This window comes from Homo sapiens, chromosome 6, assembly GCF_000001405.40.
Source record: "Homo sapiens chromosome 6, GRCh38.p14 Primary Assembly".
NCBI lineage: Eukaryota > Metazoa > Chordata > Mammalia > Primates > Hominidae > Homo > Homo sapiens.
This window is the reverse complement of record NC_000006.12, coordinates 104,933,702-104,959,235: the sequence shown is the minus strand read 5'-3', so window position 1 is coordinate 104,959,235 and position 25,534 is coordinate 104,933,702. Positions and strand designations below refer to the sequence as shown.

At 37.8% G+C, this 25,534-nt stretch overlaps 1 protein-coding gene and 1 long non-coding RNA gene across 4 annotated transcripts in view, besides 5 other annotated features; one reads left to right on the top strand and one right to left on the bottom strand.

The window, feature by feature from the left end:
- LIN28B (lin-28 RNA binding posttranscriptional regulator B) overlaps positions 1–22,210 on the bottom strand; it is a 146,307-nt gene extending 124,097 nt beyond the window's left edge. The window contains exons 1-3 of one of the 3 annotated variants that reach the window (XM_006715477.3): positions 22,120–22,210; positions 8,727–8,775; positions 950–1,137 (exon numbers count right to left, since the gene is read on the bottom strand). In XM_006715477.3, the coding sequence (XP_006715540.2) occupies positions 950–1,137; positions 8,727–8,775; positions 22,120–22,137 (255 nt within the window). In that variant the 5' untranslated portion in view covers positions 22,138–22,210. Of the gene's footprint in view, positions 1–949; positions 1,138–1,975; positions 2,130–8,726; positions 8,776–18,223; positions 18,272–22,119 lie in introns of those variants that run through there. The other 2 variants (NM_001410939.1, NM_001004317.4) reach the window with 2 other exon arrangements.
- Positions 1,241–2,178: an enhancer, noted in NCBI's record as "OCT4-NANOG-H3K27ac-H3K4me1 hESC enhancer chr6:105404933-105405870 (GRCh37/hg19 assembly coordinates)". NCBI's record gives its function as "activates a minimal SCP1, AML or CMV promoter by ChIP-STARR-seq in primed H9 embryonic stem cells {active_cell/tissue: H9 hESC(primed)}" and the evidence as "EXISTENCE:reporter gene assay evidence [ECO:0000049][PMID:30033119]".
- Positions 2,179–3,116: an enhancer, noted in NCBI's record as "OCT4-NANOG-H3K27ac hESC enhancer chr6:105403995-105404932 (GRCh37/hg19 assembly coordinates)". NCBI's record gives its function as "activates a minimal SCP1, AML or CMV promoter by ChIP-STARR-seq in primed H9 embryonic stem cells {active_cell/tissue: H9 hESC(primed)}" and the evidence as "EXISTENCE:reporter gene assay evidence [ECO:0000049][PMID:30033119]".
- Positions 17,653–18,487: an enhancer, noted in NCBI's record as "H3K27ac hESC enhancer chr6:105388624-105389458 (GRCh37/hg19 assembly coordinates)". NCBI's record gives its function as "activates a minimal SCP1, AML or CMV promoter by ChIP-STARR-seq in primed H9 embryonic stem cells {active_cell/tissue: H9 hESC(primed)}" and the evidence as "EXISTENCE:reporter gene assay evidence [ECO:0000049][PMID:30033119]".
- LIN28B-AS1 (LIN28B antisense RNA 1) lies at positions 18,709–22,942 on the top strand. The gene is made up of 3 exons (NR_046407.1): positions 18,709–18,858; positions 19,023–19,058; positions 22,554–22,942. It is a non-coding gene; the product is annotated as an LIN28B antisense RNA 1 (long non-coding RNA).
- Positions 21,406–21,906: an enhancer, noted in NCBI's record as "H3K27ac hESC enhancer chr6:105385205-105385705 (GRCh37/hg19 assembly coordinates)". NCBI's record gives its function as "activates a minimal SCP1, AML or CMV promoter by ChIP-STARR-seq in naive H9 embryonic stem cells {active_cell/tissue: H9 hESC(naive)}" and the evidence as "EXISTENCE:reporter gene assay evidence [ECO:0000049][PMID:30033119]".
- Positions 21,907–22,407: an enhancer, noted in NCBI's record as "H3K27ac hESC enhancer chr6:105384704-105385204 (GRCh37/hg19 assembly coordinates)". NCBI's record gives its function as "activates a minimal SCP1, AML or CMV promoter by ChIP-STARR-seq in naive H9 embryonic stem cells {active_cell/tissue: H9 hESC(naive)}" and the evidence as "EXISTENCE:reporter gene assay evidence [ECO:0000049][PMID:30033119]".

Sequence of the window (25,534 nt, the reverse complement as noted above, 5' to 3'; positions counted from 1 at the left end):
ACAGAAAATTTATATTTACCTTTTTTTGAGGAAACAACCGGCTTCCATAAAAGTATCTTTTTTACTATAAAGGGATTAAGCAGTAGAGAGGAGTAAAGGCAGAAGTATTAATTCATTATTTCCTGGGTAAAATTTTGAAAATGGGAAGCAATGAAATTCTGTTTGGTATTAAAACATCTTTAAAAATTACAACACAATACGAGCAAAGGTGGAAATTTACCCCAAGTAGCAGACCAGCACATTTTAAACACACAAGCAAGAGCCGCCTCTGGCCACATGTTTTTTTGAGTTCAGTCTCTTAAAGAGACAGTATACGTAGACCAATGACTACACGGAGCACATTTCTAAAATGTTTATCAAGCATCCCTCTATTGCACGCATTTCTTTACAACCACATTAGGCCAACAGTGTTCTATTTTATTTTACTATGAAGTCAAATTATTTTGATCTGAATCTACAAAATGATTACAGGACAGGCAGCGATGAAATAATAAAGGGAGCTACTGTGACTAGAGGTGTCTAAAATAAGGCAATCTATACATTTCTTTCCACAGCAAACTGTTTCGCTTTGTTTTTTCAACCTTAAAATGATCATGTTTCTTCATTTTTCTACCCATTCACCAGATACAGGCGACAAAGTATATTGTATAGGTAATACCGGAAACAACAAGAACACTATTTCGCTGTAGAATGAAGCAGGGGGAAATGCTAATAACGTCAACCTTAATATATATAGTGAAATTTCAAATATTTTCTTTTCTCTTTAGACAGAAAACCCAGGAAAAGGCCCATACACGTACCCTAAACGTTGGACTACCTAGTGATTTCAGGGAAGATTTTGTCTTTCAATATACCGAAGGACATCTTATCGTACGTCTATTGGCATAACTACCGATCAGCTCCTCCACATGGAAAAAGATGAAGAGGGGGACAAAAAAGTTTGGCTTACTTGGTGTACAAATACATCGACTGGAATATCCAAGGGGCTTCCCTCTCGGTTTATCATGGAGATGAATCCAAATCCCATGCGCACATTGAACCACTTACAGTGGCCAGTTCCGCGCAAAACCTGGGATTCCTCCTCTGCCGGCTCCGGCAGCTTCCCGGGCTCTTCTCCACCACCTTTGCTAGCCCCGCCTGAGAAGGAACAGGACAAAAAAGTCAGTCTGTATTCCCATTCAATGTGCATTCAAAGATTAAAAAAAAAAAATTGCCTGCCTGGGGTTGGGGGGGAAGGGTAACAGAAAAAAAAAATTTTTTTTAATGGTTTGATTTCTTTTCTCCACAGAAAATACTTAAAATGAAAAGGGTTAAAAGGAAAGCGGGGGAGGGGGAAGCCACACTGTTCTATCGATCACACCAACTTCCACGTTTCTATACATACGTGTACTTATTCATTTAACTCCATTTTTCAGCCACATTTTACATTACAGCATGCGATACTTTACTTGTATATTGCTGATTTAATACTGATCCCATTGACAAAGAGAAATTTTCAGCGAAACTATTCTCTCCGGCGGGCACGAGGAGGAAAGAGAAATCGTGAAGATGGTTTAGAGCTACTAGTTAAGGCACATGGGGCAGCACTGAATCCAGCGTTATTTGCAATGTGCATTCCCCTCCCCCCCATAACTTTCAATTAAAGTTGGGGTGGAATGGGGGAGGGGGCAGGTGTATAAAAGTTTTCTTGGAATCACTAACTGAAACTGCGCTTAATCACACTCACACAATTCAAACAATAGCCCCCTGAAAGCTTTTCAAGTTGTGAATCAGTGTGGGCGGTACAAAACATTTTTGGAGATCTATAACAATAGGTTTGCAGAAAGCCCCACTGCGTGATGGGGGGTTGGGAGGTAATGCCCAGTATTGGGGTAAAAGGGGAAGGGGGGGACGGTCTAAGAAGGGTGGGAGAGGGGGAGGGGGAGGAGAAAAGAAGAAAGAAATTCACAGTAAAACAATAGAAAAGAAAATTAACCTTCGGCCATGTTGCCCCACGGGCCCTCAGCTCCAAACTCGTGAGATGAAAACTTTCCCTTTGGAACGGAGTGATCTTCTGCATCAATCTAACATCTTGATTTTGTGCGATCACAAATTTAGCTCGCATGGTCTAATGTGCTTTCCTTCTTTTGATTTTTTTCTCTCCTCTCTCCAGTTTCTGGCCCCCTGAGCACACGTGACTTTGTCAATTACATGCTTTCTTGCTACTAATTTCACCTCGTATCCTTAAGGGGCTGGCAAGAGGAAGAGATAACCAATCGCCATTTCATCTATGCTGACATCAAAATAATTTATGAATGAACACGAAAAACTCAAACATGTTATCTTAAAGACAATTTGGAACGCTTCTTTAGGATAAATCAGAATGCTGATTTCGTGCTTCTACTTAAACACAATGGAGGGACCTTGTGAATCATAGATTTAGAAAAAAAGGCAGTCATATATGTGCACACGCGTGCCTTACACACAAGCCTGACTAAAATCATGGGAGGGGGTCGTTTAAATAAAACAACCGATGTTAACGCTTTTTTTCCCCTTAAGAATTCAGCTATTCCATGGCAGTAAACCTGCTTGGAACGCTAATTTCATATTTAATTCAATTCTTAGAGGAAAATATATAATTTATAAAAGATCTAATTAAACCTAATTACATCCCCATGAAACTTTAGATAATGAAAACATACACCTAGGAAAAGGCAGAGGCACATAAATTACCTGATTATGCCCGAAATTTTTTCAAATTTAAAATAAAATCCTACTAGAAAAATCGTTTTCACCTTCATATAGTCAAATTGTGTTTAGGTAAACCATTTTGGAAAATTTTAGAGGGGGTTGGTAAGGAATTGTACTTCACAGGTTTCTCTGCCATCTCTTTCCGGGGGAGGAGATGTGATTAATGACTTCCTAAATAACAGCCCAGTTTTCCAGCCTAACATAGAGTGAACCTCAATCAGTGGCGATTGTTCCCCAAGAGCTGGAGGACATAGGGCAGGAGGGGGAGGGGATCGCCAGGCAGGGGAGGTGAAGAGGAGCCGCCAGGATAGGCGGCAGCAGAGTCAAAGAAAGAGGTGGGAGAGAAAAAAAGCCGGCGCGGGCAGGGGGTGGGGTGGAGAAAGAAGGACAAGTGGGAGAAAAAAGGTAAATTCATATCATATTGACTTGTACCCTGACATTTTAAAAGTCCACTACCAATGGCTAGAAGAGTTGAATAAACGAAAATGTAACAACGGATGAAGCTCCTACTGTCCTTCCTCAACTGACCCCCAGTTTCAAAATGCCTACCCCCTTTACCTTTCAAACTGGTTCAAACGATTGATTACAAGATGCTGGCAACAGTATTTCTGCCCTTATCGAATACTATAATAAATATTATAGATTAACTAAAAAGACTTTATTTCCTTTAAAATATAAAATATCGCTATTTTAAAACCTTAAAATGCACCACCAGACTTGCCTACCCCACCCCCCATTTTCTTAAACAAGCAGTTTACCAAGAAACTAACTGTTCAGATACCACTTCCTTCGACAAAGCTACCGAGTTGACCCTCCCCCACCATGCCAGCAATCCCCCTCCCAGTCTCTTCAAACACATCCACACTCCAGCACTGTTTCACACAAGCTAAAATGTAGGGATTATGAATCGAAGAGCTATGGAAAAAGCTGTATACACCTATTTATACTCCCTCCCCATATTAAACAACTAAATATAAATTTAATTGGCTCAGATTGGAAAATGGATGTATAAAAAATAGAAGTTATTTTCAGCTGTTTTTGATAAAAGGTTTAATGAAAACTAATCAATTTGGAAAGATTTTTTTTTTTGTCTGTTATTCCTTTTGTTATTTCTCAGGAAAAAGGGCTACTTTCTCATTTTATTTATTTTGGGAGGAATAATCCTGTGCCAGCTGTTAGGGAGAAAAGAAAAGGTGCAAAAATCCAATGACTTTGAAAGTTTAACAAAAGCTCAAAGCTCTGAAAAAATTATTTACTAACAAAACATTTACTAGGCATTATTTTGATGGTAGAAATTACTTCTATTATACTGATTACACTGACAAGAAAGTAATCTCAATGATGGCATTACAGGCTAAGCTTGTGACATAATATGAAATCGAGAAAGTAATTTATATTTTTTCATATTTTAATAATCACTTTAAAAAATCAACATCTGGTATAAGAGGAAAAAAATCTCAGAAAGTATTCATGTAAATTGAGGTGAAATGCTATTACTTACATAAAAGTAATGATCACAAAATTCACAGGCCAGTATAGTTTAGCTTTGTAAAATATTCATTTAAGTTTGCTTTTAATTAGAAAACAGTTTAATCATTATAAAACCAGAAGCATAATAATGTAGGTAGATTCAGAATCTGTTTATTGTTAAATTTGATGAAATTCAAATTTATGAACATGTGGGTGAAAAGTGGAATACCATAACTGAACTACACTGTACAGTATAGTTATGAGATTCACAGTCTTGCCTGATTGGGGGCCTCCAGTATTAGTGGAATTAAGGTAAGGTTCACTGGAGTGGTCACTGGTGTCAGAGGTTATCGACTCATTCATTTCCTGAGAGGGACATCAGCCTTTCAAGTTGTGTAGAAGGCTTTTTCCAACTGGTAACCCTGAAAAATCCTCTAAAATTCGTTCATGAAGAATTTAAGACAAATGCATTTACATACCTTGGGGGAGGGTAAAAGAAAGGGGAAGAGAAGAGGCGAGGGAAGGGTAGAGGGAAAAGGAAGAAGAAAGCAAGGAAGTTGGAAAGGGAGAGAAGTAAAGGAAGGAGACACATTGAGAAACACAAAATAATCACTCACCAATTTAAGAATATGGCACTGTTTTTTCTGTGCCTTCCCCCAAAACTTTTGAGCCTAAAATCCTTTTATAATATAAATTGCCCATAAGCTTTTAAAGCTCCTAGAGTGCTTCTTTCACAGAAAGTCGTCCTATGAGTCTTCTAGAATGCTTTCCAATTTGTCACTTTCCTGAAGTCTTCTGGTTTTAATTTTTTTCTCATTTCCTACTTGGTTTTAGTGCCTGAAAGACCTGTGTTTGACTCAAAAGGGGTGTTTTATTCCTGCAAAAGCCAAATACTTTATAGCTTGACTTATAGTTCTTTCAAAATGTCTTTAAAATGAGTTCAAGTAGCTACAAAGAATCGTCAATGTACTGGGGGGAAAAAGCAAGGAAATAACCTACCATATGCCTGTTGGCTATCACAATCATCCCCATTTAAAAAACAAGGTACACGTTTTCCCAGACTTTTTTTCCAACAGTACAAGGAGCCGAAAGAGGTGCCAGAGCCCACCGTCGTTGTTTTCAATTATAAGGAATGAGTGACTTCTGTTAAAGCAGAAACAATGCTTCGGTTCTTCTTAAAACTAGGAGGAGGGGCTGTGGCAATGCGGCAAGTGACTCCACCCGTCCTCTCCTCCCCGCAAATAAGGCGGGGTCTGTAGCCCAGCGCTGCCATCGCAACCCGCCTCTCCAGGCAGGTCGCTCCCCAGGCGGCCGAGACCTGAGACCCCAGACCCCGCGCCAGCAGATCTGCGCTTTCCCTCCACCTCCTGCCTCTGCAGCTTCCTCTCACCTTTCTTTCCTCAGTCACTTTTCCCTTTATTCGTCACTTTACCATCTCCTCTCCCTAAGTGGGGTAGATCCAAAGGCTGGTGATTTCTCACTAATTTAGGGACTTTTACATTTGTCATCTTGTCCCCAAGAACACCAAACAAAAGAAATCCCTGCCTTCACTACTATGGCAAAAACACTACGCACAACCTACTATTTTTACTGAATTTCCAGACGTATATCACTTATAATTTGATCCCTTTTCCTATGAGATGCCAGAATCTCCTAAAGCTAAGATAAGTGCGGTCAAAGAGAGGGAATCCGAACCCAAGAAAATGAGCACCCCCACCCCCACCGGGCCATGCCTAAAACTGAGCTGTCTTCCAGCAAACCCGGCGCCGTCCTTTCGGGAAGCCGCGATGGCAAACGTCGCCCTGGGCCTTCGGAGGATCAAGAAAAAACGTCGGCGAGAAAGGGCTGGACGCAAGGCTGGGGGCGATTTTCGGGATCTCTCTCTGCCCCTGGCAAGATCTCTCCCGCCTGAAAGCCGCCGACCCGCCCGTCGGGCAAACTGTCCTGATTCCTTCCGCCGCGTTTTGGTAAACCACTTGGCGGTAACTTTCTTGACATTCCTACGACATGGAGACAAATGCAAGGCGCGCCCGACTGGGTGCTTGGGTCTTGCAGCAGAGGCACTTCAGAATATAGTTGGGTCGCTTTGCTTTTGTTTCCAAAAAGCAAAATTCTATTCTCATTTAATTTCCTTGTCTGGAGGCAAAATGCTCTGGCTTCACACAATTGGTCCAACGTTAGAATTTTTATACAGAGGTAAAAATCTCTCGAGACTTTCATTAAATACCTTAACACACTTTCCCCAGAATAATAAAGTAAAATTATGGAAATACAGAAACGGATTAGCATAAATTTTAAGTTTTCCACACAAATTGCCTTTATATTTCAAAATTTGCCTTTATATTTCAAAATTTCCCTTTACATTTCAAAATTTGCAAATGCTTCCTTCTTTTTGGTCAGTTATGTTTCAGCAAAATATTTACAACAAAATTCAGAAAAGGAGCATTATTTTAAGACTAACATTCTGAAGAAAGAATTTTTTAACTTTTTTTAAAAATTATACATAATAGCTGTAGAAAGTATCTTTTTAAAAACCTGGAATAGCAAAAATCCTATTACATTAACATACTTCTCTCCCAATAAGCAGGAAAAATATTTTCCAAACTGTGCTCAACAAATACTTTCTTAAATTACTTTAATTAGAATAGTAACAGGCTAGAAAAATCATTTAGTACTAAGTTTTACATTACTTTGCCCAGAATGGCACAAAAGGAAGCTTCATGTTTTAGCTGCAAAATGAAAGTATTTTTCAACTGTACTACTTGAACATGTATGTTTCCTAATTTAAAGGTCTTTTTGCAATAAATACCATGAGTCTGTGGAGCAAACACTAAATAATGTTAATATACTATTCTTTCTTCCTCCCTCAAGCAATGAATAAAAGTATTCTTTAAAGCTCTATTTCATCAAAAGAAATAATCAACTGAAATAAGAATGTGGACTGTCTCCCAGGTATTTATTTCAATATTTACCCTTTGGGTTTATTTGAGGGGAGAGGGCAAGTATATCAGAAATGAAAAAGGAAAGAAGAGTGGCAGGGTAAAAGATGAGACAAGTTAAAAGAAATCTTCAGGCTTTAAAGATGCCTGAAGCAAATCAGCATGTGTGAGAAGCAAATCTGTGGAGAAAAAGCCCAGCTAGAAAATGGAGGCCAGAATTCTGGTCCTATTTACCAATTCTGGTCCTATTTACCAATCTGTGGCCTTGGGCTAATCACTAAACTTCTCTGGAACTCAGTTTCTTCATCTGTAAAGTGAGGAAACTGGACCAGCAAATATTCAAAGTCTTTTAACTTGAAATGTAATCTCTAGAAATAACCATTCTTCTGGTGAAAGTTGTACCTTTCCCCTCCGATCCTTTTTAATCACAAGGAAATACAGACATGAAACTTTATTGCAGTCACTTAACACATTGGTGTTAACATTATTTCCCAACAGAAAAGAAAAAGGTCTCTGAACTGGCCCCAACAGAAAACCACAGTCGATAATAAGGGGAAAAAAATAAAAAATTAATAAATGAAAACAATAATAAGAGGAAACTAGGTGGTATACTAAAACATTTGTACCAACTTTTGAGAATCTTCTTTTTCATGATATTAGAGTATCACCCCTATGTCAAGATTCACTCCAAAAAAAAAGCAGTTTCTCAAATGGAAATCCTATCATGGTTTCCTCATCCAACTTTTTGATCCTTACTGCTTTCCTCTTGCTACTCACAATCCTATATTTGAAAAGTTTAATAACAGAATAACATCATTTTACTTGTAGTTATTATTAATATTCATATACTTTGCAATATCACAGCTCCTATGTGTGCCTTCAAAGTGGTATGGTCAAGCCAGAGTAATAAATTATCATCAAATAAGATTGTTACTAAAAAATGGTGCTATAACTTTTAAGTTAATTTTAATAATATAAGAAAGCATGTCAAAAGTCTGGGTTTAAAATATTAAAGTTCAAATGACTCAGCTTTGTCATATGAAAACGAGGAGCAAATTCTGATATATGTTTATGAAAAGCAACACAGAGCTTCCTAGATAAGAAAAATTTCCTCAAAATGTCTAATATATTGTGCTATTTCTGTTATGATAAATTATTTTAAAACAGCACCATGTCTCCATTTTTAATTTAGTTCAGCAGATATTCGTTAGTGCATATTTTACTTTGGGAGTTACAAAAATGAACAAACCATGAATACTTTTCATTCATCTCCATAAGCATTTAAATATCTGTTATCTATGCTGCTTGAGTTACAGAAAAAGGAATCACAAAATACAATACTGCTAAAAGTGGGGGTGGGGGGAAAGGGGTTAATTAGAAGAGGTTGTCCACGTAATTCTTATGGGAACACCAGTTTTTTAGATGGAGTGATCAGGACGAAGTATAGGAGGACTTGGTACCTGTCTTGCCAAAGTAGAAAGGATGGAGAATTCCTGAGGGCTGTCAGGTTCTCATATGCCTCTAGCGATCTTGATCTTTTAAAACATTAATTAAACAAAATATTTAAAAAAAAAAAAAAAGACTAACCTGGGGCTGATGAAACCTGGTTGAATGACCTCATCCTCTTCTGAAGAACCTAAAATCAGAGAGCTCAAGTCAGTACTACATTAATTGCCTATTTAATTGCCTCTTCTTCATCCTAATGGCCATTAGAAAGCAATAAAATGCCCAGGTTTTGACTCTGTGAAGAGACCTGTAAACTTTTTTTTACAGTTTAAGACTCACCTAGCAAAATTAGATAACCAATTGGCATATACTTGCCTTTTATATCTAGTAGAGGACACTAGTTTAAAGAACATTTACAACATTTAAGACCATTAAGATGCAGTCAAAAGATCCCAATATCACGAACAATGCAGTTTAAATTTTAATATTTAATTTTACACTGTAATTTTAAAATACTAGTATTTTTTCCAAGCACAGTTAAAATCTACTTAACCTAGAATATCATGTTTCTTGAAGAACTAACTTCTTTGACTATTCTCTTCAGATATATTTCAGAAGATAAATCATGAGAATCTAACGATGGTACTATAAAATAGATATTGGGGCTGTTGCAGTCAAGTGAATGAAAAATTACATTAATGGTAATACATTTAATCATTAAGTATATTTTTAAATATCTAATATGCATTTTAACTTATATTTTTAAATGGGTTAATGTTTTTTAAAAAGCAAACAGTTCTCATTTTTTAAATATGAGTAAATATTGATGTTTCTAATACATCCATTGGCAGATGCCACAACACAATAAAACTTGCAATAAAGAGGCCACACAGTAATCAAGTATAGTGATTGGAAGAGGAACTCCTGGTGACTACTAAATTATTGTTTTTATCCTTGGGTCAGTTATTAAGGTTTGCAAAACAGATTGGTGTGAACATGCATGCACTCACCTGCTACACCCAGAGTTGTCTTTCCTTAACTAAGTTTTACACACTAGACCTACTATATCAACTCACAAAAAATAAGTAAAACCATTCTGTGCAAATTATTTAAGTTGCAATCTAATTTTCTTCTCAAAAGGAAATGGAGACTTTTCCAAGTGCAGGGTTCTACTGAATGTTGACCCAAGGTTCTTTTTACAAAGGATGACAATCCCACCGAGTTAGATTTGAAAAGAATAGAGGAAGAATGTGAACAAAAGGCACGTGAACCTCTGTACATTAAATCCTTCACTTAGCCTGTGTTTACAACCAAAAGACACAAGATAATGACAGATCCTAACTTTAACAAAATTCATTACAGACACTTAATGAAACAGAGCTTTCCTTTACATTGATCCTGTATCAAGTTTTATTTTGCACATCTGGCTTATGTGTGAGTATATTTAATTATTGTACATAAATATTTCAGCACAACTGTAGCTTCTGCCTTTCTATTCTAATAGTCCACAGCCTATTCTTAATCCTATCTGCTTATATTTAGAGAAGAATTCAAGCCAACATATTTTAAAGATGTGTAAATACAATAGATAGGGTTTGTTAAAAAAAAAAAAACTTTGCAAATAATTTGGACAAACTATCACAAATAGGTTTAATAAAGCCAAAATCAAATAATGTAAGAAAGTTAGCTAAATAATGCTATTTAATTCAAGAGCTCTAACTATTAGCTTTTGGAGTTTTTTTTAAAAAGCCAATTTGACTGACAATAACATTCAGATTTTTCACTATTCAAACTTACATATGATGTCCTTGGTTATACTAGTTTTAACAGTAATGTCCGCTTCAAAGGAAAAGTAACATGAAATTATTTCACAATTAATGTTTTTCACTAATATTAATGGTTTAAAATTGTTCAAAAACAAGAGTAGAAAAAATAGCATTGTTTAAATGTAGATATTATCATGTATCCATCCAATATTGACTGAACAACTATAATAGGAATGAGACAGGTATAAGCTGTAAAATATTTATAATTTTAAATGTTCATATTCTTATTCTAGGTGACTGTTTTTTGAAATGAAATATCAGGAGTTAAAATAATTCTTCAAATGCATGAATACTCCAAAAACAGCCACTGACATTTTATACATGAGTATTTATATGTAATAATTTTTTTTCTTTTTTTAGACGGAGTTTTGCTCTTGTTGCCCAGGCCGGAGTGCAATGGTGCAATCTAGGCTCACTGCAACCTCTGCCTCCTGGGTTTAAGCGATTCTCCTGCCTCGGCCTCCCGAGTAGCTGGGATTACAGGCATGTGCGACCATGCCTGGCTAATTTTTCTATTTTTAGTAGAGATGGGGTTTCACTATGTTGGCCAGGCTGGCCTCGAACTCCTGACCTTGTGATCCACCCGCCTCGGCCTCCCAAAGTGCTGGGATTACAGGCATGAGCCACCGTGCCAGGCCTTGTATTTAATACATTTTGTTAAAATATTTTATTTAACAGAGTTCATTACGTTTTCTTAGAAAACAAAAACCTAAACCTATGAAATCCCAAAATACACTTCTTTGCCCCTACACGAGAATAATCTCCATTCATCATTTAGATCTCTACTTAGAGCTCTTTTTCATACTGTTCCATACTGAATACAATGTCTCTACCATGTAATAGTGTACTGTGGTTTATTATAACAGTCCATGAAAATGTTCTCTCTCCCAACTGAACTCTATGCTCTGTGATTAGAGAGACTGTGTATATTTAGCTCATTATTATAATTCTGGCATTATTTTGTATTCATTATATTTTTTGAACCAATGACAACGAATTCCTGTACCGAGGTTGATTATTCCTAGGTTGGCTTTTATAAAAAAAAAAAAAAAAAGTACGCAAAATGTTTTGTTAAACCATCTTTTCATAAAAAATAATTGGATAGGCAATTAATCTCTTATAAATATAAAATACATATATTACAAATATAAAATACATATATACAAAATAATTCCAATTATTTTAATTTAAATATATGATTTACTGCTATAGGAGTGCCTAACTTATAAAGAGTATCCATCACAAACATTCTTAGATTTCACACTTTCTACTAAAATATATAACAATATTCTTCACAAATACATTATATATTGTTCATTGTTAAAATCCACTGTTGTAACTAAATGTAAAGGAAAATGACTGCTATTATGAATTATATATTGTAATTCACTCAAAAATTGCCAGCTGGTGTGGTGGCTCATGCCTGTAATCCCAGCACTTTGGGAGGCCAAGGCAGGTGGATCACTTGAGGTCCAGAGTTCGAGACCAGCCTGGCCAACATGGTGAAGCCCATCTCTACTAAAAATACATGAATTAGCCAGGCGTGGTCGTGCATGCCTGTAATCCTAGCTACTGAGGAGGCTGAAGCAGGAGAACTGCCTGAACCCGGGAGACAAGGGTTGCAGTGAGCCAAGATCCCGCCACTCCACTCCAGCCTGGGTGACACAGTGAGACTCTGTCTCAAAAAATAAAAATAAAAATTGCCAAGCTGTTAAGCTCAGATAAATGAAGTGATAAATAAAAATAAATTACTACTACATTACATATTACTCAGAATTTTATTTCAATTCACATCATGCTAACTTTTACTTCTAATACTAACAAATGCAAAATTTACTTTAAGTTGCAAAAATGATTTAACAATCAGGAATAGTATTCACCATAATAAGAAAAATTATTTCATTACTTATTCTCATCTCCAGAATTTTTCAACATTTTAAAAAATACTTCAGATAATTTTTTGTTTCTGTTATAGTATTTTCTAAAATAACATAAGTGTAAAGTACATTACAACTTACTATAATAAATATTCACTTTATGGTTTAAAGAAAAATTAATCTATAGTATGTGTCAACTATCACTGAACTACATTCTTTGGAAAGCAACACACATTTTTCTTTCCTAGCAAGAGAAAACGTTTTAAAATAACATTACTTAAAATCATATAGCAAACATATTAATATTACACTAACACCAGAGTAAAACCCAAAGCACAATACTGATTTAAATTGACTATAACTTAAAATATAACACACACACACATCAAATAAAATATTAAACATGGAAGTTCAACACTGAAGTGAATGCAGGTGCTTTATGAAAGTGTTTCCTTACATTGTCCTTTAAACGAACATTTAATATCTATTACAAACCTTACTGTAATTATTTTTTGCAATTAGTCAACAGACTAAATTCAAATGCTGCCTCAGTAAAATCAGGATAAATTATTTTGCAATTTAACTGAACATCCTACTTTAATCATAGATGTAGCTGGAAATGTTGCTGATGTACCCTCAATCATACACAGGAACAGAAAATCTAAACAAAATAATTTACTTAAAAGTAAGAGAAATAGTTACACATGACTTTCTACAGTTTAAAAATATTAGGCTATTGGAGTTTGAAAACAAGCTTCACATTCGGTGAAATATTTTTACAATTATCAAGAGAACAGAAAATTTTATATTAGGAAAAAATCTCAAAGTTGCATTATTTCTTATATTTATAAAGTATATAATTTAATTTAGAATATATCATATGAAACACTCAACCTTAAATCAGAGGGTAGTATTTTTGGCACTGCTGAATCACAGAGATAAATTTAATTTTCTCAACCATATTACAAATAGAAATTTTATTTGTTTCATATAAGATATGGACACCTCTATCATTCTCTTCAAATACTGTAATAAGAAGAATTTATTTTGGAAAATAAAAACAAATGAGTAATAATTTAAGATGACTGGCATATTTTCAAAATTGTTTAAAGGCAATATTATGGCACAGATAGCAGCTGGCAAACACAATTCTTTAGCTTAAATGTAAGCTATAACACAGTTGAGCCACAGCACAGTTAGTTTTGCTAATGTGTTTGTATTTTCCAACATATGAAATAATAACTTTATGTAATCGAGCTCACAGCCCAGTCACTGTTAGATCACGTTGAAGAAAAGTAAAAGAAAGCGATAGTGGTTTCAAATCAAAAAGATCAAAATAATGGCAAAATTCCTGCCTTAAAAAAGGTAATCACATATACTTTGAAGGCCCACCATAACTTTAAGACAAAACTTTAAAGTGGCTTTTTGATACAGTAAACAAAAATGATTCTAGGTAAAACTGAACACTTCTTTTAATTACAATAATAACAAGGAAATTTTATTGACATACATTTTAAGTTTTAATATACAACATTATTAATGGTTCAAAATTTATATCATCACCAGAGATTAACAAGTAAATGAGAACTTTGTGTATTCTAAATATTTTCAATTAACATTTTAATAAAGATAAAGAGACACTTTACAAGTTACTCATCCTTACAACACTGGGTGACTTACTGATGTAATAAATGTAATAGCAAATAAAAATAATAGGATTTTAACTAACAGAGGAGATTATAACAGACTAATACAAAAGATAACACATAATTTACAGATTTTTTCTAAAATGTTAAATCCACAAAATGTCTATTTTTTAACCTATACAGTCTAGAATATTTTAGTTAAAATGTTTTTGTAAAGTCTGAACAAATGATGCACAGAAAAATGTTTGAAAAACATAAAAGTAGCATTTCGGCTCTTGCCTTTCCAAGTAAGTCTGTAAAATAAATACTGATTTCAAAATATCTAGAAAATTGTAAACATGTTTTTCCACCATTAGAACTGGCCATTCAACATCAAGTCTTTTTTTCCATATAATTAAGCTTTTGTTCCGCTAAGAAAAAACTAGAAACTGGTTGCTTGAAAATGAGCTGCATGCCCTTTGTCCTGATTTGTCACCTTTGACCCTTAATTTGATGATCCTGCATATCAACCCATTCTATTTTTAGAAGAATCATGTCAAAGTTCTATGCTTAAAATAGTACTTTTTACTGATATATTAAATGTATTACAACATTACTTTTCAGGTAATTTCTACAATGGTTTCATACTAGTACTCATTTCATATAATGTAGAGCACAGTAATATTGTAAGCAGTAAAAGCCTGCTGTTTGTCCTGTTTCAAACAATAGAAAATTTCCCCCAAATGACAGGTCAATATCATTATAATTTCAAAATTTATATTCTTATTTTTTAAATTATTTAATGTTTTTAAGTGTAATTTATTTCATGAATGATTTCTAATTTAAGCTTGATATCACATATTTTGATGTTGGTTTTGATAGTGCCAGAATATGAACCTAAATCAAAAATTGCAAATATCAAGTTCATACTCTATCTTACCAGTAGTGTCAACTAAAACTGTACAGTTTTTGAGTTAAATAACTAGTTGCTTAAACGGGTTTTTAAAATCTTGTCATCATCTGCAAGTGGCAGCTTTCAAAGAAAGAGAAAACCTCTAGCATTGATCCTATTGATTTTACTGACATTATTCAAAATCAATGTTACACAGTAAATTAATATACTTCAGGGATAACATTTCTCTATCACAATTTCTGATGATTCCAATTCAACTAGGTGAAAAGCAAAAAAAAAATTTATGAAATATATATGCATATATTTCCTATAGTCATGATGCTACTTGAATCCCTACACAATTTCTGTGTACTGTACAGTTTTCAGTCAGATTTAGCAGGGACCAATATGGCTGTCTTGATTCAGCACTGTGGCCAGCGACTTTGTCGAGCATCATTGTGTCAGAGAAATCCAACACAATAATGTACATGTATACAAGTACATGGTGGGCAAGTTTCTCAAAACAATGAGATTCTGTATTTCATATATTCGAAGACTTATTCATATAAATCAACCTGAAGTATTTGAATGTAAAGAATTTCCATTGTTCTTCTTGGCAAGCTAGAAATACTTTACTTTGTGGTTCATCAAAAACAGTAGTTATTTGTAAAGAAAATACAGTCCCTTTAAAAGTCAAGGAAATAAGGTACAGGTTCAAAAGTATTTAAACAAAAAAAACTGAGTATCTGAGAATTTTAAAAGAAAATTAAATTCTATTAAAAAATACCTAATAAGAAAACGCTTTAGTTGTCCAAAAATTTGTAACGCCACTTTCATAATCAATAATTTAATTACTTCTAAATTGATTCATCCCTGTATGCCCATGTTTCATTTTTTAAATCAATGCAACTTTGGATTAAGATAAATGTTTATAGATCATTTCCTGACCTGAACTTGCTAATACAGTCCCCAAATTTGGTAGCTGTGCCTAGCGCTTCAATTATTTTTAAAGAGACATCACTCACACCTGAAGACTGTTATTCATACATGTTTTATTTAATAACTTATTTTCTTCCTTTAATCATGATTTGTAAATTATGACAGCAGTGTGTCACAAAACCCTAATCATGTTACCAGATCAGATACCAAGCATTATCAAACTTTTAGGCAGGTAAGATCTATTTAATCTTCTCTTTCTTCAGAGTAAACCGGAAAAAAAAAGCCAAACTTAAATTCACCGTATTTTGGGATTTATATGTGCAATAAACTTAAAAACAAGTTATTCTGAAGACTAACTTTGAGCACTACTATTTTAAATCTCGATTTGCTTCCCTTACAAAGTATAAGATTGACATACCTCGCCTCACAACCTAGCGATTTTTAAATTTAAATCTTGACTAATTTCACAACAAACTTTTTATTGTTTCTGAAGTCTAGCAGAGAACATACATAGTAAGACACCATACAGTCTGACAAGGATTAATGAGAATATAATTATTGAATCATTTAGTTCCAGATCTATTGAGAAGCACCTATAAAGTTACCAAAAACCAATATGCATTACAACCCGATCCAATTCCTTAAATTTTTATGACCTTATATTGTAAAGCAAAGATTAGCTGATCCTACTTGTAAAATGGAAAAGTCAAATAAAACTTTTTTATTCATTGGTAGAAGAGGCCTTGTGTCAGTTTCATTTCTAAAGCTCTGTAGGAAATTAAGCACACTGGATTGCTGTGTTTCATACATGCAAAGATAAATAATTTGGCAGGCAAGAACCTTCCCTAAGATGGACAAGGGTGTAATTATTATTGAAAATGGAATACTGATTATTACATTCTCTTCTGTTAATTTATCATATGACTCCTCTATAAAATCTATGCAAATTCACAGCAGAAGAAAAAAAGGCATAAATTTCATAGCAAATTTATTTTTTCATACAAATTGGCATATATTTCCAAGAATTCACCCTTAACTTTCAAATCTTCCCTGAAAGCTTTCATAAAACTGTGATGTTTTATACTTATTGTTGGACGTAAAAATGTGCTTTTTAAAAAAGCACTTTTGCATTATCTAAGTAAATATGGTAATAACCAGCACCAAAAAAAGAAACATTAATATTTTCTTGATTAAAAATCACTTTAAGTCATATTTTCCCAGCAATGTTGTAAAACGTTTTAAATTCATTCTAATACTAGTTGTCAGGTGTAATTTTCACTTCCACAGTATTTGTGATCGATAAATAAAAAACTACAATAGAATAGGAGTATAATTTATTTTCCCCTTGCATTAACAATAATAGGTATAAAAATCTACAGTGGAGAATTTAGTTCCATGAACAGTGACACTTGGCAACCTTAAAAACCTACGGATGAAAACAAACCCACAAAGAACTGAAGGGAACTCAAGGAAACACAGGCACCTAAGATTTCATTCTGTGTTACATGAAACAATTCAAAATGGCGGACTTACTATTACTTACATTTAAGAAATTTCCGCAATAAGGGCACTAAATACATACTGTTAGATTTTACTCGAAAACACTCAATATTTACCAACGTGCAATTTTTAAAAAAAGTTTTTGGAGTACAAATCTTCACAAAGCACCCGCATCCAATGTTCCAGTCAGTAGTCAGTTAATGCTCCTGCAAACGTATCATTTCCTCTTTGGTTTTTCCTTTTCAAAAACAACCTAAATCCAAGTGCGTTCTTCCCCGTTCTTTTCAAAATCCTTAATTTTAATTCATGAATTTACATCACCGATACCAAAGCAAAAACGATCCCCGACGCCTGCCCGGTACAAAGCAGTTCGGCTTGCGGAGCGCGAAAGGGAGGTGCGCACGCCCTCTGGCGGCGCGGCCCCGTGCGTCCCAGACGAGCCGGCACCGGCCGCGAGGACCCGCCGCCGGGACCCCAGCCTGCGCCGCACCCTCGCGCCCTGCGCCCCCGCGTGGCCTGCGCCCCCGCCCTGCCCCGCCCCGCCCTCCCGCTCCAAGCCGGCTTTGGCCGCCCGGCAGCAACCGCAGCGGCGAGCCTGGGCGGCCGCTGTGGCAACGCAGTGCCCACACCGGGCGCCGACCCAGCAGCACCGAGCGGGGAGAGAAAGGTGTGAACCCGGAAGTACATCGACTGCCCGCGTCTTAGCGGCAGCACCGGGGCAATAAATCAGGGCCGGCGAAGGAAAGACGCGGCGCGCCGGCTTCCGAACCGCAACTTGCTGCGAGACCTGTCACTTCCCCGCGGTGCCCAGTCCTCGCCCCTCCCTGGCGCTCGCGCCTCCTCTTTTCTTCCTGCTCCTCAGCACGGAGCTCCCCTCGACGTTGCTCACGTGCCAGACTCGGGACCGCGAGCGGCGTCCGCACCCGCACGCACACCCGGCCACGCTCGCACTCGCGCGGCCGCGGGGCCGGCTGCTTACCTCCGGGGCCTCATGGTCGCGTCGCTAGCCTGGGTGTGAGAGGGGGAGAGGGTGTGAGGACGTGTGTGGCGTTCAGTCCCGAAGGACGGGGCGGAGGAAGGGGCCTGGAGTCTGTCACTTCCTGAGGGAGCGCGGAGGTCGAGAGACCTGTGAGGCGCGCGGCGGGGCCGGGAGGGTCAGCACATTGTGAGCCGGCAAGGGGACGCGGAACAGCCGGGCGGCGCGCGGCCACCGGGCACGGAATCCGCTGTCGCCACCACTCCGCCGCCGCAGCCCGGCGAGTGGCGGGGCGCGGGGAGGAGGGGGCTGAGCCGGGTGGGGGAGCGCGGGGCGCGGCGGCGGCACCAGGCGGTTCGACTGGAGCCCTGCGTCAGCCGGCGGCACGCGCACACCTGCCCGCCGCCGCTACCGGCCGCGTCATTGGCTGCCGGCGCCGAGCGCGCGAGATTGAACCTTCCATTCATTCCAGGGCCGGGCGGGCGAGCGCGGCCGCGGTGGAGCTTTACCGCGGGCGCCCCCGAACCCCCGAAGCGCGTCCCCGCGCAGGCCGTGGGCGCGCACGGCCGCTGCCGCCGTTTGTTCTGGTGGAGGCTGCGAGTGCCTGGGCCTGTGACTCCCGGCTCTCCGCGCGCAGCGTCAGTCTGGGAGGGAAGCTCACATGGCGGTCCCTAGGGTGCGACTGGAGGGAGGCGGGACGATGCTACTCCTTGCTCCCCAACCTGACACCTTGGTGCGGTAAAACTGTAAGAAGGTAACAAAATCATATCTGAAGCCCAGGTCTTCTTTTCTTTTACTACAGATGCCCTGGACATCATTCCGAACAGCACAATTCAAGGTAATAATAGTCATGTATTTCAGAATCCAGTGAGCATGGTAGACAATGCCAGAAGTTTGGGGAACCTACTGTCAGCTGTTTCTTTTCCTAAACAATAAGATACTCAACGTCAAATTGGATGATACAAACTTAATCATCATCACTCAAAGAGCCACAAGATCTGGGGCCAAAAATACTGTGATATATACACATATTTAGCTTGGTATTTTGGTATATGTTCCCAAAATATCACTGCTTTCTCTCCTATAATTTTCTACCTGATAATTTTATAGTTCTTTCTTATACTTTGGGTAGTTTCTCATCAGACTTTCAGAACTAAACAGTACTAGTCAATCATTATCTGACCAGCTAAAAAATCGAATATCGCCTTGTAATCTGGACTGTTCTGTGGAACTGACTAAAGGGATTAAATATTTCAGCAAACTAAAAATTTGTTCAAAAATTTAAAATATAGGAAATCAAATTAAAAGTGGAAAACTTTTCAAATGAAAACACTTTCATTTGAAAGTAACTAATAAAGGCCAGTTCACTGGCTACTATTGTATGACTAAAAGGCAAATCTCCAAACCGTTGCTGTGTGATGATACATTTCTCCCTTCCAATTTCTGGATTGGGATTAAGAAACCAATGTATCTATCAAGGGTAACCACAGTCTAGAAAAAAGCATCTCTGGCCTGGGAGTGAGATCAATGCAGACAAACTGATCAGAAGCAAAATCCTGTTGTGACCCCTCCTAAGAATTTTCCACATTGGCTACCACCTTCAGCAAATTCCCTGGATGGCTGCTCAACTTTCCATTGAGCTAGTGGAGTGAATACCACTTACTTTAAAGATGCCTTTTCACTGGCAAGTATGTAAAGTATTTCTTACATTACTTTGCGAAGTAGTACAGAGGATTCTTTCAGATACAATTCTTAGTTATAATCATTGTATCAATTTACACTATGATTTCAAATATAATTTAGAGGAAAAAGATGTGGACATTGATTACTAGAAATGAAAAACAGCAATTAATTATATCACCATCTGAAATGTGATATGCTTTGACTTTAAAGCATTATAGTAATTTTTTATTTATGAGTAGAGCTTACAAATGCACTTACAGAATGAACTGTTTTTTTTAATAGCTATGTTTCTAGGTATTTTGTAAGCCTTTCAGCATTTAAGTGTGATGTATATTTATGCAATACCTATTTAAAGTCCTGAGAAGAATTGTAAACAGAAAATAAAAAATTAAAACACAACCCAGGGTTAGTATCCCAGCACTCAAGAGTTCATCCTTTTTTTTGATTTCAAACTAGTTATCATCATGCCATCATGCTCCTGTGACACAAATAAAAAATGGGACATTATAATATTTAATGTATTATTTCATATAAGGTACCCGAAAGGGGCGATGATGAACATTGATAGGCTAAGCATTAAGGAGTATGTTAGCATGATTAGAAATGAATGAAAAGCCATAAGAACAAAGGAATTTATCATTTACGTATGGCTCTTGGCAATTTCTTTTTCTTTTCAGGTTTTTTTTTTTTTCTTGAGACAGGGTCTCACTATGTCCCCCAGGCTTGAGTGCAGTAGTGCAATCTTGGCTCACTGCAGCCTCCACCTTCTGGGTTCACGGGATTCTCGTGCCTCAGTCTCCTAAGTAGCTGGGATTACAGGCCTGCTCTACCACACGCAGCTAATTTTTGTATTTTTAGTAAAGATGGGGTTTCACCATGTTGCCCACGCTGGTCTCAAACTCCTGGCCTCAAGCAGTCTGCCCACCTGGCCCTTCAAAGTGCTGGGATTACAGGCGTGATCCACCATGCCTGACCTTGGCAATTTCCTTCTAAAAGTGAACCTTGGCAATTTCTTTATAAAAGTGAATCCCTCTACCTGGGACCATGGTCATAATTTATTTTACCTTATTTCCAACCTCCCCTTTTTTAGAGACTCGGTCTCACTCTGTTGCCAAGGCTGGTGTACAATAGTACCTTCCTAGCTACTGCAGCTTCGACCTCCTGGGCACAAGTGAGAATCCATCTTCAACCTCCTGAGTGGCTGGGACTACAAGCGCCTAATTTTTTTGTTTTTTTTGGTTTTTTTCTGCCTAATTTTTTTTTTTTTTTTTTTTTTTTTTTTGTAGAGACAGGTTCTTGCTCTGTTGCCCAGGCTATTCTCAGACTTCTGGTGGCAAGATATCCTTGCAGTCTTGGCCTCCCAAAGCACTGGGATTACAGGCATGAACCACCATGCTTGGCCTGCTTTACTTTTAGAATATATCTAATAATTATTCCCAAAGAGAACAGGCTCTTACTCTTAATATCTCCAATGCCTACAACGGTTCCTAGAATATGGTAGTGTGTAAGAAATGCTTTTTAATGAATGCATCTGAATGCACCCTGATTATATTTTCAAGGAAATACTTACCAAGACCTTTAGAAAACATAAAATACAGTGTTTCATATTTCTCTTGCCCTCTATTTTTTTATGAGTGGAGTGTATGAAAGCAAACCCCAGGCATCACGTCATTTTACTTACGAATTACAAGTATTGAGTGTTACAATGTTGAAAAACTAGGCTTTTATATTTATTATACTACATTAAAACAATTTGAAAAATAGAGTTGGCCAGGCGCGGTGGTTCACGCCTGTAATCCCAGCACTTTGGGAGGCCGAGGCGGGCAGATCACTTGAGCCCAGGAGTTGGAGACCAGACTGACCAGCATGGTGAAACCGTCTCTACAAAAAATCAGGCAGGCTTGGTGGCGGGCGCCTGTAGTCCCAGCTGCTGGTACTCAGCAGACAGCCGGGAGGCGGAGGTTGCAGCGAGCCGAGACTGCGGCCCTGCACCCCAGCCTGGGCAAAATGGTCACCGCGTCTCTACAAAATACTAGCTGGGCGTGGTGGCGCGCGCCCGCGGTTGCGGCTTTTGGGGAGGCTGAGGTTGCCCGCCCGACCAGTACCCAGAGGTTCCAGTAAGCTAAGATCGCACCACTGAACTCCAGCCTGGGCGACTGAGTGAGATCCTATCTCAGAAAGAAAGAAAGAAAAATAGAGTTTAGAAATAAACTGACCTGGCGGCGGTGGCTCATGCTTGTAATCCCAGCACCTTCTTCAGAGGTTGACGTGGCGAATCGCTTGAGCCCAGGAGTTCAACACCAGCCTGTGGAAAATGGCGACCTGGCTCTCTACAAAAAATTCGCTGGGCGTGGTCTGCGCGCCAGTGGTCCCAGCTATTGGGGAGGCTGAGGTGGGAGGATCTCTCCAGCAGGGGGGCGGAGGTTGCAGTGAGCCAAGATTGCGCCACTGCACTCCACCCTGGGCAACAGTGCGATCCTGTCCTAAAATGGAAGAAAGAAAGAAAAAGATTAAAACTAGCTGGCCGGGTGCAGTGGCTCATGCCTGTAATCCCGGCACATTAGGAGACCGAGATGGGCCGATCGCTTGAGTACAGAAGTTCCAGGCCAGCGTGGGCAACAGGGTGAATAGCATTGTATTTGCTTTCTAGGGTGGCTGAAACAACAAAAATGTAACGTCTTACAGATCTGAAGGCTTCCGGGTCGATTCTGGACTGTGATGAGAATCTGTGCCAAGCCTCTCTCCTGGCTTCTGGTAGACTCGGGCATTCCTTAGCTTGTAAATGGCTGCTGCTTGTGTCATCACATTGTCTTCCCTTTCTACTTATCTGTCCCCATGCCCCAATTTTTCCTTTTCAGGACACCAGTCAGATTAGGACCCACCCTAATGATCTCATCTTAACTTGATTAACTACAAGGACCCTATTTTTAAGTACACATTTACAGAGACTGGGGGGTAGGACTTCAACATCTTTTTGGAGGGATGCAGTTCAACCCATAACAAGAATCATTGTTAGAAATGATTTTGCTTCTTCACTGAAAAATTAATATCATTCTGCAGAGAACTGACTTGCTGCACATGGCACAGATTTTTTGCATTTATCATAGTAAAAGAAATCAGTCACAAAAGTTTGTTTTAGACTGCTACATACCTATCACAAATACAAATTATTTCCAACATCAAAAGTTAATAAAGCAAGCACTGTCACCCAAATTATATTGTATCTATTGAGCACTCCCTTATGTACAGAAGAGGAAAATGAGAAATGAACAGGAAGTTTAACATTCATAAAAACTGTTGGCTGGGCGCGGTGGGTCACTCCTGTAATCCCAGCACTTTGGGAGACCGAGGTGGGTGGATCACCTGATATCAGGAGTTCAATACCAGCTGGCCAACATGGTGACACCGCGTCTCTACTGAAAATACAAAAATTAGCCGGGCGTGGTGGCGGGCGCCTGTAGTCCCAGCTACTCCGGGGGCTGAGGCGGGAAAATCGCTTGAACCCGGGAGGGGGAGATTGCAATGAGCCGAGATTGCGCCACTGCATTCCAGCCTGGGCGACAGAGCAAGACTCCATCTCAAAAAAATAATAATAATTCATAAAAATTGTGACAAACTTGTGTTTGTCTATTAAACTGGCAAAAATCCTAACGTTTGACAACACACTGTTAAAATACAGCTTTAAAGTTTTAAAATAATTTTTTGGTGAGGCTATAGATAAACCCATACTTTGATACATTCCTGGTGGGGGTACCAAGGGGGCACAACATTTAGAGAGGGAAATTTGGTGAAATCTCTCAAAATTTAAAATATACTCTATGACTTAGCAATCCCTTTCCTGGGAAATTATCCCAGAGATATAAGTGCATCTTATACAGCAAATGATGTGTATACCTGGATTGATTTTTATAATAGCAAAAGAATGGAAATAGCCTACGTGTCCACCTACAAGGACTGAATAAATAAACAATAGTACACTGAGATGTAAAATCCTTCTGTGTATTTATATGGGAAGAGCTCCACAATACATTGTTAAGTACAGGAAGCTGCATACCAAACATCACATATGCTGCCTTTTGTGTGAGAAAGGAAGGGGATAATGAGAATATATGTTATACTTATTTATATACTTATAATTATATAATATATTTATATACGGAAACACTCAGAAGGATATATAAGAAACTAAACGATTGCGGGCAGATAGGGAGATCAGAATGGATGGAAATAGGTGTGGGAGCAGGATTTAATGTATATTTGTTATATAGTTTTGATTTTTCAGCCATGTGAATGTACAACTTACTTTTAAAAATTTAGTCAGAAAAAAGGTTATAAAACACTATTGATGCTACTTCTATGAAAAATGCCTTTAGAAACCTATATTTTGAAAACTCAAATGCTAAAAAAGATATCCTCAAAAGAAATAGATGAAGCAAATGTGGCAAAATCTTGATAACTGTTATCTGGGTAATGGATATGTGGCATTGTACTAGTCTCTCTAGTTTTATCTATGTTTGCACATTTTCACATTTTAAATGTTCTCAGTCATCAACATTTATGAAATTTCATAAGAGGCATCCTTAAAGTGTTATTTTAAAATTGTTAATGACTAAATATTCTAGGCTCTGGGGAGAATCTGTGTAATTCAGAGCTTTAAGGTAGGTGCTAGAAATAGCCAGTAAAGCCTCCTTTGAATAGATGGTCTTGCCAAGTATGTGGACCAGGAAAAAAAGAATGCTTGGCAGAAAGACTATTTATTATTACAGTTCAGTCATACATGAATCTACAGACCCGAGCTTTTTAAAATCAAACTTCTTTATCCACCTCCAACTTCTGAAAGAATCATTGTTGTTCATTTTTTAATTTTTATTTAAAAGTTTTAAAGCTGTATTTTAAATTATTAGAGCCATGGTGTAAAGGTTTTTATCTTACACCACTATCAGTTTTTTTTAAAAAAAGTGTTATGCACACACCTCTGTAGAGTAGATAAAATATCTTATCCTTCTATCATTCTTAGGTTCATTAGCCAGGGCCCTGTAAATTAGACTAACAAATGATGCAGGAGCCTTTAAAAGATAACGAAGAACTGGAGAAATAATTCCACCTAAGCATTTTTATAGTAGGTTTGTTGAAGAGTGGAGAGTCTTGGAAAAATGTGATAGGACAAAAAGATCTGAGCTAACAGTGGTAAACCGGGAGAAATTTAGTGTGTTCTGTTTGTTTGGATTCCCCTCAGGGTCCCTCCATCTTCAGAGATAAAGATGCCCCCTTCCTCCGTGTATAGGAAGGGCACGTCTCATATGAGGGTCTTATGACCTGCCTCAGGGAAGCAGGGCAAGGTCAGAGAGTTCTAACATCTGCATTTCTCAGATTCCTTCAGCTTAAAATATTCAGTTGCACCAATGCACCATACTTTAGGGTAGAATGCTGTGAACCCCATCACCTTCAATTATGTATATTTATTTATAGATCGTATACTTCTGTACTATAGTACATTATGTAATGTAAAACATGTACAAGTAGAAATTTAAAAGAATGAGATTTTTAAAATTGTAATTATGTGTTTCCCATTCTTCATTGGATTATCTTCTATGCTTATCCCATTTGGAGGCTTTGGGCATCCTATCACTG